Consider the following 15,875-nt stretch of genomic DNA (forward strand, 5'->3'; position numbering starts at 1 on the left):
AGGTGGAGGTGGTTTTGAGCCGAGATCGTGCCATTGCACTCCTGCCTGGGTGACAGAGTGAGATCCTGTCTCAAAAAAAAAAAAAAAAAGAAAAGAAAGAGTTGTAAATGGTAGAATGTAAAATTAAGAAAGGTTGTGAAGTTTTCAAGGAAAGAACAGCATTGGCTTTGTGAGTTGGTTTAGATCTGATGTTAGTAAAAGTTAAAAAAAAAATTTTCTTTTCTTTTTTAGACAGAGTCTTGCTCTGTCGCCCAGGCTGGAGTGCAGTGGCGTGATCTCGGCTCACTGCAACCTCCACCAGGTTCAAGTGATTCTCCCGCCTAAGCCTCCTGAGTAGCTGGGATTATAGGCACCCGCCACCATGCCTGGCTAATTTTTATATTTTTAGTAGAGATGGGGTTTCGCCATGTTGGCTAGGCTGGTCTCGAACTTTTGACTTCGGGTGATCTGCCCTCTGTGGCCTCCCAAAGTGCTGGGATTACAGGCGTGAGCCACTGTGCCCAGCCGAAAAAACAATAATTTCAAATATGTTCCAATCATTTGGAATCGATTTAAAATAAAAAAAAAAAAAACAAATGTGCTGCCAGCATTAGATTGTTAGACTGCAAACAACACTTTAAAAGAAGTGAACAGCTGTCACACTTCTCTGTCCTCTGTAGAGATTTAGCTTTGGAAAGATAACAAGTTTGTAAATTAACAGATCTCATCTAAATTCCATCCTTTTCCTGGAGCTTCTGCTATCCTAATCCCTCACCCTCCAAGAGCACAGCCCTTTGATTTACTTGATCCAAAGAACTTTTACTTCCTTTCGCTCACTGCTGGATATGCTAATAGGTAGGGTTAAATGAAAATTGATAAAAAAAATACTATAATTATTTTTGTTTTATAATAGTGATTGTACAGTAAATATTTTTTATATAGTTTTACAAAAATACCTATATGGGAGTTTGTGCTTTGGTTATTTAAACCTTGGAAAGAATTTTAAGAATTTTAAGAATTTTCTATCTTGTTTACAATGTTTTATCCTCAGATTCAGGCTCGGTGCCTGGCACGTAGTAGGTGGTCAACAAGTACCTTTAGAATAAATAAATTATTTTTATCAGTATCCAGGGCGAGCCTTATGCAAACTTATAAAGTGGACTAAGTTGGTTTTTGCTAAATTCATCCTCCCTTTTCTAGTCTTTCCTCTTCCTTCTTCTCATAGGAGAATATCTTGTCACACCTGCAGAATCCTCATGTGTCCTCTATATAGTTGACCCTGAACAATGTAAGGATTAGGGACACTGACCCCCCCATGCAGCTGAAACTTTGCATATAATTTTTTTCTCTCTCTCTTTCTTCTTTTTTTCTTTTCTTTTCTTTTATTTATTTATTTTTTTAGACACTGTCTCACTCTGTCACCCAGGCTGCTGGAGTACAATGGTATGATCTCGGTTCACTACAACCTCCATCTCCCAGGTTCAAGTGATTCTCCTGCCTCAGCCTCCCAAGTAGCTGGGACTACAGGTTGCTGCCACCAGGCCCGGCTAATTTATTTTTATTTTTAGTAGAGACGGGGTTTCACCATGTAGGCCAGGCTGGTCTCAAACTTCTGACCTCAGGCGATCCTCCCGCCTTGGCCTCCCAAAGTGCTGGGATTACAGGCGTGAGCCACCGTGCCTGCCTGTATATAACTTTTGGCTCCCCTAAAACTTAAGTGTCAATAGCCTACTGTTGACCAGAAGCCTTACCAATAACATACACAATTGATTAACATATATTTTGTATGTTATGTGTATTATATACTATGTTATTACAATAACCTAAGCTAGAGCAAAGAAAATGATATTAAGAAAATCATCAGGAAGAGAAAATATATTTACTAAGCGGAAATGGATCATCATAAAGGTTTTCATCCTCATCGTCTTCACATTGAGTAGGCTAAGGAGGAGGAGGAAGAAGAGGGGTTGGTTTTGCTGTCTTGGGGTGGCAGGGGTGGAGAGGAAGGCAGGAGAGGCAGACACATTTGGTGAAACTTTTATTGAAAAAAAATCCACATATAAGTGGACTTGTGTGGTTCAAACCCCTGATGTTCAAGGGCCAACTGTATATGTATATATTTTTATTGTGGTTAAACACACATAATGCAAAATTCACCATTTTAATGATTTTAGAGTATACAATTCAGTGGCCTTTTGTTTATTCACAAGGTTGTGCAATCATCACCACTATCTAATTCCAAAACACTATCATCATCACAGAAGGAAGCCCTGTACTTATTAAGGTGTTGCTCTTCAACCCTTCTTCCTGCAGTCCCTGGAAGCCGCTAATCTACTTTCTGCCTCTTTGGATTCACCTATTCTAGATATTCCTATAAATGGAATTATACAATGTATGGCCTTTTGTGTGTGACTTCTGCCACTTGGCAAAAAGTCTTCAAGGTTCATCCATGTTGTAGCATGTATCAGTGGTTCATCCCTTTTATAGCTGAATAATAATTCTGTTGCATTGCTTTACCACATTCTTCTCTTTATATTTCCTATGAAAACCTAGTATCTGGAGAGCCGCTGAAAAAGTAGCCAATAAATTACACGTAAGTGTAGCTAATAGAAAGTGAGTTGAGAACTCATCCAGGGGAATGTGTGTTGCTCCTGTGGTGGAATCTCAGGGATGAGGAAACCTTTCCGAGGGGGACAGGAGACTTTCTGGTGCCACATGAATGGCTGACTTGTTGTAAAGCTAAGTCTACCAATAGCTATGGGACTGGAAAAAGCATTGCATTGAGTAGATGGACACACAGGTTTTGATTCTGGTTTAGATGTAACTAATTGGGTTGCCTGCATTTCCATGGGTCCAATGTTTCTGCTTGTTGTTTTGGTTACCTTGGGTTTGGCTTTCTATCAGGCCTTCTGCTAAGCTCATTTACATGCATTATCTCATTTAATTCTTCACAAAAAATTATATGGAAGTCATAGAAGACTAAATACAATAGCTGAAGTTTTACTTTCAGTGAATTGTGAGGGAGAGATTCAAACTCATATCTGACTCTCTTTAGCCTGAGCTCATAATCACTATATGGTAGGAGCTGGCAAACTATGAATCTCTGCATTTTTTTGTACATCCTCTGAGCTAAAATTGTTGATACTTTTATTTTTTTTCTTTTTAAGATGTGGTTTTGCTCTGTCACCCAGGCTGTAATGCAGTGGCACCATCTTGGCTCACTTGGCCTCCCAGGCTCAAGCCATCCTACCACCTCAGCCTCCCAAGTAGCTGGGACTACAGGTGCACCACCACACTGGACTAATTTTTATTTTATTTTATTTTTGTAGAAATGGGGTCTTACTATGCTGCCCAGGCTGATATTGAACTCCTCGGCTCAAGAGGTCTTTCCACCTTAGCCTCCCAAAGTGCTGGGATTGCAGGCATGAGCCACCGCGCCCAGCTGGTACATTTTAAAATGCTTTACACGAGTCAAAAGAATATTTTATGAACCTGAAAATTACATGGAGTTTAAGTTTCAGTGTCTATAAATAAAGTTTTATTGGAACACAGCCCTACTTGCATAGCTCTGTGTTTGTACTGCAATGATAGAGTTGAGTTATTGGCACAGAAACTCTTTGGTTCAAAAGCTCTAAATATTTACTATCTGGCCCTTTAAAGAACATATTTGCTGGTTATCATTCATAAAATGGAGGCAGAGAAAGAATTAAGTCATTCCTCAGGTCCCTTTCAACTTAAATGTTCTGAGAATTGCAGAGAAAATTGCTTACATCTTCTGTTTTCCTATGAGGTCTCCATCTCTCCCTGCCCTCTCTCATTCTCAACAGTTGAGTTTGCCTCTTTTCTTAAAAAGATTGAGTCTATCTAAAATAGATGCCTCATCTCCAGTCATACATCCATATGCTGACTTCCCATCTCTCTCTCTGTATGTGTCCTTTCATCAATTCTCGATTTCCTCTATTCTGAGAAATAACAATATTACCATTTATTAGATGCCTGAGATTTCTAGCATTCTACAGAGTTGTGAAGAAGGTTCAGAGATGATAAATGTAAGGTCAGGCTTATTATTTCCATTTCTGGGGTGAGGGAGTTGAAGGTTGAGGAGGTCAAATTGCTTTTCTAGGTTGTGTCAATTAGTAAGTTGTGGTGCCAGAGTTTGAACACGTCTTTCTGATCAAAGGGACTTTACTTCTCTTGTCTGATGTTATCTTTGCTCTCTGTGCACCAAAAGCCATCTCCTCCACACCACACTCCACCCTGTTCTTCTGTGTATGCCCTCTTGATTTCTTCCCTTCTTTTTCTAATCATTTCTTTTGGTATTAAGTTTGCCTCCTGAGAACAACATTCCCTTAGGCCAGCTCGTCTTCTAGCTAAAATAGCTACTTTAGCTGCTAAGAATAGGAATAGCATTTCTTGAGCCATTACATTCACACACCAGACACTGTGCTAAATACTGTATAAGTGTTGTCTCATTTAAATTTCATAATAGTTTTACGAAGTTGCTACTATTATTACCATTAAAAAGGGGGAAACCAAGCCTTGGAAAGGGTAAGAAATTATCCAAGGGCATATAGTTGGAAAGAATCTGAATAGAGACTTGAACCCTCTGTACTTTCTTTTTTTTTGAGATGAAGTCTTGCTCTGTCACCCATGCTGGAGTGCAGTGGCATGATCTCGGCTCACTGCAACTTCCACCTCCTGGGTTCAAGTGATTCTACTGCCTCAGCCTCCAGAGTAGCTGAGATTACAGGCACCTACCACCACACCTGGCTAATTTTTGTGTTTTTAGTAGAGACAGGGTTTCACTGTGTTAGCCAGGCTGGTCTGGAACTCCTGACCTTAGGTGATCTGCCTGCCTTGGCCTCACAAAATGCTGGGATTAAAAGCATAAGCCACCACGCCTGGCCTAGACTTGAACCCTCTGTACTTTCCAATCAGTATGCCTTACTTCCCTATCCCTACCCCAGCCTCACCCAATATAACTCATCTCCTCTTGTGACTTACAGTGGTCCCCTCTGGCTTCTTCCTTTTCAATACCACCCATTCTGTTCTGCATCTCATAGTGTGATACTTACTTTCTCTTTAATACTAACATTGCTTTCACAGCTCACCTGTGACTTCTTTTATCATTTCTTTTCACTTTAGAGAACTTCTTTTAGCCATTTTTTTTAAAAAAACAGTAGATCTGCTGGTGAAAAATTCTCAGAGTTGTTCTTCATCTGAAAATTTCTTGATTTTTCCTTCATTTCTGAAGGGTATTTTCTCTGGATATAGAATTCTGGGTTGACAGGTTTTGTTTTGTTTTTTTTTTTTCACATGAAAAATGTGCTGAATCCTTCTAGCCTCCATTGTTTCTGATTAGAAATCTATTGTTACTCAACTTATTTTCTCTTGATACATAATGCACTGTTTCTTTCTGGCTACTTTCAAGATTGTTTTCTTTAGTTTTCTGGTTACTATGATATGTTTTCATTAAATTTCTTTGAGTTTAAACTATTTGGAGTTTGCACAGCATGAATCCATAGGGGCACATGCGTGAGTGTGTATATATGTGTGTGTGTGTGTATGTGTGTGTGCAGATAATATATACCTTTCTCAAATGTCAGCCATTACATTCGTGTGTTATGTGACTATAGGTATAGTAAACATATGGCATTATACTTTTATGGGGCCACCCTTGTGTATGTAGGACAGAAATGTCATGATGTGGGGTGTGACTGTATTTTTGTTTGTTTGTTTTTTAGTCCCTCAATTAACCAATGAAGATTGTATGTCTTTGAATACTTTTCAGCCTCAAATTCTTTCTCTTCTTCTTTTGAGATTTCAAATGTTATATCTGTTGTTATAGTTTCATATGTCCCTGAAGATTTTTTTTCAGGTCTATTTTCTCTCTATTTTTCAAATTGGGTAATTTCTATTGCTATGTCTTCAAATTTATTGATTCTCTGCTTTGTATCTTCCATTCTGCTCTTGAGACCATCCATTGAGTTTTTGAATTTTGGTTGTTGTATTTTTCTAGTTCTAAATTTTCCATTTGGTTCTTCTTTGTATATGCGATTTCTTTGCTGAGATGTCCTCTTGTCATTTGTTTCAGGCATATTCAAATGCTCGTTGATGGCTGCCTTAAAATTCTTGTCAGGAAATTCTCACTTCTGTGTCGTTTCAATATTGATTGTTTTTCTTATTCAGTTTGAGATGTTCCTATTTCTTGGTATGACAAGTGACTTTTGATTGAAATCTGGACATTTTGTGATATCCGATTCTTACTTAATTCTTATGATTCTTACCTAAACCTTATGATTTAGAAGATCTCCTCTGACACTAACCTGGTGGCTGAAAGGGGGTGCTGCCTCCTTACTGCCAGGTGGGTGTAGACATCTAGATTCTCCACGGGGCCTCTGTTGGCACCTGGAGAGAAGGGACTCCCTGTTACTGATAGGTGGGGGTGCTTCAGGCTTCCTCCTAGGCCTCCACTGACAGTTCTCTGGCTGGGAGGGAGAAAGGCACTTGGTTTCTACTCCCCATCTGGCCTCCACTGATGCTGTAGAGAGGGTGGTTTTGCTACCACTGAACAGTGGTAGAGGTCTTGATTTTTTACTAGGTCTTATCTGACACTCTCCCTGTGGGGAGAGGAAGTAACTTTCTTCTGGACATTTTCTTTGATTTGTGCTATCTGTACTTATTGAAAATCCATTTAGTTACCTTTTTATAAACACAGTGCTATTCTTACTTTCCTGTTAGTTTGATTATTCCTTCTGTTACCTCGACTCCTTCTTCATCTTTTACCTTCCAAATGTGGACGCTTCCCAGAGTGGCTTTTCTCTTGAGGTATGCTGTTGCTCTAAGAGCACTTCACTGTTTCCAGACCTCTGGATTTTACCTCTCATGATGGCAACTTCCAGATCTTGCTCCCTAGATCTTGCCTCTCCTTGGATCCTTAATCCTGATGGTCTCCCTCCTTGAAAGACACTTCTGACTTCATCTGCCACCACTTCATACTTGATAACTATCACAAAAAAATGCAGTTGTTTTGCTTTCTTTATCCCAATTTTGTTTCCTTCTCAATTTCCCAACCTCTGTCCATAATAGCATTGTTTTCATAAGCCTGTGGACATTAAATCATCTGGTTTCTTTCTTTTCATTCACAATATATATCACACAGTGAACCACAGGGATGGAAGGGGGAAATCCAAAAGTAACTAAATTGCAGTTCAATGGTACAGAAAGACAAACCTAGTTCCCTTTGTCCCTTTGTCTTTCAACATGCATTACCTAAGGTGTGTATTTAGGGCAAAAAGCACAAGTTAAATCTGGTTCTGCCAATTGTAAGCTGTGTAACCTTGAATACTTGACTTAACTTCAGTAATCTCAGTTTCCCCATCTGTAAAGTGGGGATGATGATAATAGCAACTGCAGAGGTTTGATTCAAGGATGCAATAAGTTTATTTATATGTAATACCTAAACATATCTGGCATCTAATAGAGATTCAATAATTATAGCTCTTGGTCTTCTATTAATATAAAACAGTATTTTCCATCCTATTGCTCAGTCCCAAACCCCAGAATTTTCCTGCTTGATTTTCCAAGGTGTTTTATTGTCTCTTCCCACCCAGACCATCCAGTTTATATTCAGCTTGTTTTTCACACCCAAACATGCATTCTTTCCTCTAGTCAGCCTCTTATCTTTATTTACCTTGAATTTATTGTACCTCTCTCATACCTTATGTTTATTCTTAGAATGTCCATTTCCCCTCCTTCCCCTTCAAATCCCATCCATGCATTTGTCAGGCCTCAGCACAAGTGCTGGAGTCTTCTGTGGCTGTTCCCTTCTGTCCTGATCTCTTCCTCTGTGAACTTCCTTTGAACTTGGAGTAACCAAGCAATAGACCATGGCAGTGTAAGGCGCCATGGAGGCTGTGTAGTTCTTCCCATTTGGCCAGGTTACAAGCTTCAGGAAGGTTATCCGACCTGTTTGTGGTAGTGTTAGACCCTGCCCTCTCTACGTCATATAAAATATTCTCTGAATCCTATACACTTTGTTATATTATTGACCATTCAGTTGATAAAAATCTGAGCGGTTATTCTACAGTAGTTCTCTGAGGTAGTTACTGAAGAAAGAAAGATGGGTAAGGACCAGTTTTATGTACTTGCATGAAGTTTGTGCCCTAGGTGCCACACTTGTCTTACCCTAATCCTTGCCCTAGTAAGACTTTCACTTGTCTTGGGAGCTCATCACTGGGGTTTAGGGTAAAGGGGTTGACTGACACTCTCAAAACCGAGGGAAGCACAGTGGCCACAGTAGAGATTCCGATAATGCAGAGAAAGTAGTGATAAGTTGGTAGGGGGAGAGGTGGAATTAAGAAAGATTCACAAAGGAAGGGGTTGTTGAGCTGTATTTTGAAGGATAAGAGTTCTCCAGAAAGAGGAATGCATTTTAGTCACAGTGATAGGCCTGGGAAAAGCAAAGGAGGCATAAACATGTCCTGTGTGGGGTATCAGTTTGTTGCTACAACTGGGATGTGTCTGGGTGTATTGTCCTTAGGATATTGAAGGACAAGAGATGATGAAGGGAATGACCAAAACTAGATTTTTAAAGATTATTTCACTAAAAAGTCCATGCTCTTCTTCTAACATCCCATTCTGCTTCCATATAAAAGGTCTGAGTAGGGTTGGTCCTAAAATATTTTAGATGATCTAATCTCCTAGGTTTGTCTTTCTGTACCATTGAACTACAATTTGGTTACTTTTGGGATTCCCCCCTTTCATCCCTGTGGTTCACTGTGTGATATATATTGTGAATGGAAAGGTTGAATGGAGTCAGGAGGTTTAGTGGCACCTCACTGGGAGGTTTTAGGATAGAGCAGGGTACTCTGCTGGTCCTGGTTGATTTCTTGGCCTTGAGGATGATTTCTGGGTCAATGAGTTTTTTGTTAAAAGAAACGAATTCTTACCAATTTTGGCAAGAAAAAGAATCCATCAAAAGAATTTGGTGTAGCTCACTCCACAGGGCCAGAGAACTAGAATCAGAAGCAATCCAGCTGGAGTGAAGCCCCGAAACATATCGAAGGAAGGGGTCTGGTGCAATATAACACAGCTACCACCAGTTCACCAAACTGCTGCCAATAAAGCCTCCCCAACCGGATGGAGCTGCTGCTATCATTGTCAAGTCCCAAAATGGATCCTTTGCAGTCTCTCCATGTCTGCATCACTGGGGACTGATTCTGAGGTTTCAGTGGTTGCCCAGGGCCCACACTTTAGCTGCAATGAATGCTGGGAGATGAGTATCCAGCACTTTAAGCTTCTATAAGGGATAGCAGACTCTGCCTCAAGAGGTGGAAGAGTCACCAAACATAAAAGGGAATGAAGATGGCAAATGCATGACAAACGTCCACTGAACTCTCCAAGTTGGCTGTTGCATACATGCCACTAACTTTCATTTACTGGAGACTTACTGGAAATCCAAAGCACATTTTCTTTTATTTTTATTTTTATTTTTTGAGATGAAGACTCACTCTTGTTGCCCAGGCTGGAGTGCGGTGGCACGATTTTGGCTCACAGCAACCTCTGCCACCCGGGTTCAAGAGATTCTCCTGCCTCAGCCTCCCAAGTAGCTGAGATTACAAGTGTGCACCACCAGGCCCGGCTAATTTTTGTATTTTCAGTAGAGATGGGGTTTCACCGTGGTGGCCAGGCTGGTCTCAAACTCCTGACCTCAGGTGATCTGCCCACCTCGGCCTCCCAAAGTGCTGAGATTACAGGCATAAGCCACCACACCAGCCCCAAAGTACATTTTCATCAGAAAGAAATTTTACCAACTCCGAGGTAGAGGAAGGAAACTTGACTCAGGGAAGTTAAGCAGTGGAGAGAAAACTCTTGGGTCTTAGATTACTTCCTGACCTCAAAAGCAAAAGGGCTGGCTCAGCCTTAGCTAAGTCTGTCTGTCAGTAAGCTAATTCTGGTTCATTTAACAAAAGTGAAATTGTAAATGTGGACAGCCCTGCCTTGATTTGTGAACAATTTTCAGAAATCAAAGATCAAATCATGGATAAATGTTGTTTGGTTCATATTAAAAAGTTAACAAAGAAGAATACATATTTTTCTTGTTTTGTAGATGGGAAAACTTCTGCATATTTAAAGGAAGTAACGTGTTTTGGGCTTACATGACTACCAGTTGGTGAACCCAAGGCTAGGACCGAATCTCTCCATTTTTTTTTTAAATATTCTTCTCACTGAACCATGAGTATTTCCCTATAAGAATTCTCTTTGGGTAACAATGAATTGTTTCTAAAGCCTGCGTCATTAAGAATACTAAAAGAGCTCCTGATTTATGTGTAATAATTGGGTTGACAGGACATACACACTACCTTTATTTCTCATTAATAGTTATTTAGATGAGAGATATGGTGCATTTCTCTAATCTGGCTTGGAAAAGTAAAGCTTGTGCAGGTCTCTTTTTCTTATTTTGAGATATTTATACTATCAGCTTCAGTTTCAAATGCATCAATCTTAGGTTTAGTTCCAATTTACTTCAATTTATTAAAATATGTATTGAACACTGCATAAGAAATCAAATGGGTACACATACACCTAAGGAGTTAAGGGTTTTAAGCAAGAAAAGAAGTGCTTATTTTTTACCCTGCAATAAAGGTATTTTGGGTATGCAGCATGTTGTTTTACCAGCTGCTACCTTAGCGTTATATTTACTTTTATTGCTGTAGTCTCTTCTGGTGATTAATAGACACCAGGATGGGGGAGGGTGGATCTATCATTTGGCCTAAGAATATCAAGAATCAAGCCAATAATTGACAGTTTTCCATTAAGCAACAGAACTCTAGCATTCTGCTAGGGAATGGGAACACAATACAAGGATACAGCCTGGATTTACATTAGTCAACAAGCTTTTTGAGTGACACACAGAAAGCCTAAGCTATACTAAATGTTAAGAGATTGAATTGCTGGATTAAGAATCATGTTACTCAGGCTAAATCAGAAGTAGGACTGGCTGAGCTAAGCCATTTTCTGTACCTCAGTTTCTCCACCAATGTTGATAGATATTTACTGTATTCCAGAGCTCTCATGTGTATCAGCTCATTGCTCCTTCACTACTAACCTATTAGGTATGTGTTGTTTCTTCCTTTCACAGGTGAGGAAACCAAAGTTCAGGGAGGTTAAGTAATTTTCTCTGAAGTCACAGAAGTAGTTAATTGCAGAGTCGGGATGCCAACTTCGATCAGGGGCACTCTAGAGCCACTCAGTCTCATTGCTTCTGCTTACCCTGCCTTTTGGGTATCATTTGAGTACCCCCCACAGACGCCAAAGTACATGCACGAACGCCTCCTCCACCCTTTTACAATTGCTGTGCTTTGAGCTTATTGCAGAATGGGTACTGGAAAACACAATTGCTAGACTTAAGAATAAGGTTTTTTTTTTTTTTAAAGGTATTGAATTATGCAATTATCTGAAGTGGTCATTCATTGGACCACTTGATGTTGTGGATGATTTATATAACTTTGTATTTTATTATAACCTCTGTTTCTTTTTTTTTTTTTTTTTTGAGACGGAGTTTCACTCTTGTTGCCCAGGCTGGAGTACAATGGCATGATCTCAGCACACTGCAACCTCCGCCTCCCAGGTTCAAGCAATTCTCCTGCCTCAGCCTCCCTAGTAGCTGGGATTACAGGCATGCGTCACCACGCCTGGCTAATTTTTTGTATTTTTAATAGAGACGGGGTTTCACTATGTTGGCCAGGCTGGTTTCGAACTCCTGACCTCAGGTGGTCCACCCGCCTCGGCCTCCCAAAGTGTTGGAATTACAGGTGTGAGCCACCACGCCCAGCCTAACCTTTGTTTCTTACATACAAAACAGTTTCATGTAGAAGTAGGTTTGGGAATTGGATTTTTTTAATGTCATTTTTATATTTTTGAGATGGAGTCTTGCTCTGTCGCCCAGATTGGAGTGCAGTGGCATGATCTTGGTTTACTGCAACCTCTGCCTCCGAGGTTCAAGTGATTCTCCAGCCTCAGCCTCCCGAGTAGCTGGAATTACAGGCACCCGCCACCATGCCTCGCTAATTTTTGTATTTTTAGTGGAGACGGGGTTTTACCATGTTGACCAGGCTGGTCTTGAACTCCTGACCTCAAGTGATGTGCCCATCTTGGCCTCCCAAAGTGCTGGGATTACAGGCGTGAGCCACCATGCCCGGCTAGGAATTGGAATTTGATGATTGCATGGAAGGCAGTTGAGTAAAAGGCATTGGAGGAGGAAGGAGATGAAGAAAGAAAGAAATAGAGCAATGGCTTAGTTTGGGCCATTGGGGCATTCAGAAGGGTGAGCATTAGTGGGCCAGGGAAGAGACAGTTAATGAAGGTGTACTAGGAGTGAGCAGGAGCTGAGGGACGCTTATTCCTAGCGGGGAGCCTGTGCTGGGGAGACTTGCTGAAGGAGAGACTGGGCTGAGTCCAGGGGAGTGCAGAACTGCCAGACTGTTGAGGTCAGTTGGCAAACAGGGCTGTTTCAACCCGAAATTGAGAGGCTGCATCTGGAATACAGCAGAAAGAGGACTGAGCCGTTCTTGGGGTAGAGATGAAGGGAAGTCAGCCCGTTAGCCTGGGACTGAAACAGGGAGGCATCTTTAAATGCCTCTTCTATCAATAAACCCTGACAGACTCACCTAAATATTGTTACAGCGTTTCCCTAATTTGTCTTGTTGTTTCTAATGTATATCCCCAGGACCCCTTACCCCACTAGCAATGGCTCAATTATCTAGCCCTGTAGGGAAATATTGTAATATGGTTTTGTTTTTGTTTTTTTTTTTTTTCAAATTCAAGTTTAGTTTTCTGAGTGCAGAGGCCTAATTTGACTCTGTTTTTCACTGGACTCTTTCTAAAAAATCACTGTCTTTTTTTTCTTGTCACTTAAATGTAGTCTAACTTTTTATTTAGGAAACACAGTCATTTTGCTTGTCTGCAGTGCATGGAGAGTCCGTTAAGGTTGCTAAGGTGCGGACCTTTCTGTTCCCAGCCCGAAGCTGGAGGTCTGTGGTTCCCCCATGGCTGTCTTGCTGCTTGCTGCCGAGTCTGCCCATCACTGCCTTGGCCTCACTCCCAGTTGCAGCCGGCCCTGGCCAGGGCTCTTTTCATTCTCCATTGTATTTTCTTTCTGCTTTTTTTTTTCTCAGCCACATCTCCACTCTTGACCCCCTGTGGCTCACTCTTTTAGCCATCCCCAGGTAATGAGAAGGCTCCTTCTCCCTGGTCAGTGAACTGATTGTTTGCGGGGCCGGATGTCCTCCTGCTGCTTTAACTCATCCTGGCGCTTTGCAGCATTGCTCAGAGGGATTTGTCTTCATTGCCGGAGGTGGAGTTGCCTTTCCTTTTTCGCCTCTCTTTTCTTCTGTCCTTGGGATTCATGGCATTTCCACACACTGAAGTTGTTAAAAATAAAGGCTTCCTTGACAACGGAGGTGTTAGTAGGTGTAGGGCTGGCTGGGTGTAGCTGTTGCAGGTGATCAGCCATGTGTGGCGTGCCAAGGTTAAGGGCAAAGGCCGGCACTCCCGGGTTACAGTCTTTGAAAGGGATACTACCGATCTTTCGATGACAGTGGAGAAAAGCTGTAAAGGAGCGTTTTTCTCTTTCTTTTAGCATTATGAAGGGCATGGATTTTGGAGCCAGGCTACCTGGGTTCAAATCCCTGCTCTTCCACTTACTAGCTGTGTAGTCTTAGGCAAATTACTTAACATCTCTGTTTTTTAATCTGTAAAATGGGGATGATACTGGTATCCAGGACATAGAGTTAATACTAGTATTATATGCTATATAATATACATCATATAAATGTTACATATAATATATAGTACATAAACTATACATAGATAGTTAATATATGTAAAGGCTTTAAAAAAGAAGTGGTATACAGCAAGCAGGTGCTGTGGAAGAGTTTACTGTTATTTTTCTTTGTTTTGCAGAAGTTTTTTTGTGTGGGGAGGTATATTTGAGTTAAAAGCAGGGATGATTATTACTCCTCAGAGTCCTCTGAGGTGTTGGTTGTCCTTTCTTTCTTTTTTCTTTCTTTCTTTGTCTTTCTTTCTTTGTCTTTCTTTCTTTCTTTCTTTCTTTCTTTATTTCTTTCTTTCTTTCTTTCTTTCTTTCTTTTTCTTTCTTTCTCTCTCTTTTTTTTTTTTTTTTTTTTTTTGAGACGGAGTCTCGCTGTCGCCCAGGCTAGAGTGCAGTGGCGCGATCTCGGCTCACTGCAGGCTCCGCCCCCTGGGGTTCACGCCATTCTCCTGCCTCAGCCTCCTGAGTAGCTGGGACTACAGGCGCCCGCCACCTCGCCCGGCTAATTTTTTGTATTTTTAGTAGAGACGGGGTTTCACCATGTTAGCCAGGATGGTCTCGATCTCCTGACCTCGTGATCCGCCCGCCTCGGCTTCCCAAAGTGCTGGGATTACAGGCGTGAGCCACCGCGCCCGGCCTCTTTCTCTCTTTCTCTCTTTCTTTCTTTATCTTTCTTTCAAGATGGAGTCTCACTCTGTCACCCAGGCTGGAGTGCAGTGGCGCGATCTTGGCTCACTGCAACCTCCGCCTCCCAGGTTCAAGTGATTCTCCTGCATCAGCCTTCCAAGTAGCTGGGACTACAGGTGTGCACTACCACACCTGGCTAATTTTTTTTTTTTTTTTTTTTTTAATAATTTTAGTACAGACGGTGTTTCACCATGTTGGCCAGGCTGGTCTTGAACTCCTGACCTCAGGTGATCCACCTGCCTCGGCCTGCCAAAGTGCTGGGATTGCAGGCCTAAGCCACCACACCTGGCCTTTCTATTCTTATTTTAAAGATACAGCATTTTACAAGCAGTAGGCACTGCATGAATTCATGTAGTTTGATTTAAAAATGAATCACAATAAAGTACTCGGCTTGACTCTGAGTCTGAGGCAGTAGCATCCGAAAAGGTTGGTCTCCAAGTTGCCTGGCCAGGAGGTAACCAGATGGTGCACCTGCACCCTCCCCTTGGACCAGCAAAAATTGCTCCTGTTTCCACAAGTGCTTTTTTCCTTGATACAGAGACCCTTGGGTTTGGGATGAAGCCTTAGAGGTCATGCCCTGTCCCAGCCTTCATCCATGCTTTGCCTCTCTGAAACAATCTGGAAGTAGGACGTGGGAGGTCAAACTTATGATTCACATTTGGGGCAACGGAATGTCTTTTCCTTGAGACATTTTTAAGACTTGTACTTCATGATAAAGTTGAGCTAGGAAGTGGGGCCAATTTTTTTTTTTTTTTAGTTTATTCATTAAACACATCTCATGAGTATACTTTTTGCCAGTTACTAAAAATATAAATAAGACCCTGCCCTCAGAGTAGTTACAGTCTAGACAGTAGAGTTTTGTAAACAGAAATATGTAATAAAATATAAGAAGAGCACTATGATAGAAAGTATTTATGACACATGCAGACACACAAAAAGGAGGGTTCTGCTTCACCTTTGAGTGAAATGGGATGGGTGGAGGTGAATCCTGAAAATGTTTATGGAAGAGATTTTATGTGAGCTGGATCCAGAGCATTGAGTAGGTTTGCATGAGTCAGACAGGGAAAGGAAACATACTCTAGACAGAGAAAACAGCGTGAATAAGGGCACAGAACCTCAGCGCATCCTGGAGGTCTGAGATTTGCAAGAATTTGTCATGGCTGAAGCGAAGGCAAACAATTAGAGTTAACAATAGCGAATGGTCAGGGGCTATCAGTGGTGTGCTCAAGCTGGCTTGTGTCTGGCTTATGGGAACTGGGTATTAAATAGCCAGTCATTTTGCAAGCCGGTTGCAAGCCGGTGGTAGCTGGAGATCAACAGTGGTGGAAATATTTGCACCGTGGAAATCAGCAAATGCTACACATTAGGGCCTTCT

General features: G+C 41.3%; 1 protein-coding gene across 2 annotated transcripts in view, besides 2 other annotated features; it reads left to right on the forward strand.

The window, feature by feature from the left end:
* Positions 1–15,875, forward strand: part of MAP2K6 (mitogen-activated protein kinase kinase 6) — a 139,169-nt gene that overhangs the window by 20,765 nt on the left and 102,529 nt on the right. The gene's annotated exons all lie outside the window — the stretch shown is intronic.
* Positions 12,178–13,158: an enhancer, noted in NCBI's record as "OCT4-NANOG-H3K27ac-H3K4me1 hESC enhancer chr17:67443780-67444760 (GRCh37/hg19 assembly coordinates)". NCBI's record gives its function as "activates a minimal SCP1, AML or CMV promoter by ChIP-STARR-seq in primed H9 embryonic stem cells {active_cell/tissue: H9 hESC(primed)}" and the evidence as "EXISTENCE:reporter gene assay evidence [ECO:0000049][PMID:30033119]".
* Positions 13,159–14,140: an enhancer, noted in NCBI's record as "OCT4-NANOG-H3K27ac-H3K4me1 hESC enhancer chr17:67444761-67445742 (GRCh37/hg19 assembly coordinates)". NCBI's record gives its function as "activates a minimal SCP1, AML or CMV promoter by ChIP-STARR-seq in naive and primed H9 embryonic stem cells {active_cell/tissue: H9 hESC(naive and primed)}" and the evidence as "EXISTENCE:reporter gene assay evidence [ECO:0000049][PMID:30033119]".

This window comes from Homo sapiens, chromosome 17 (genome assembly GCF_000001405.40).
Source record: "Homo sapiens chromosome 17, GRCh38.p14 Primary Assembly".
Lineage (NCBI taxonomy): Eukaryota > Metazoa > Chordata > Mammalia > Primates > Hominidae > Homo > Homo sapiens.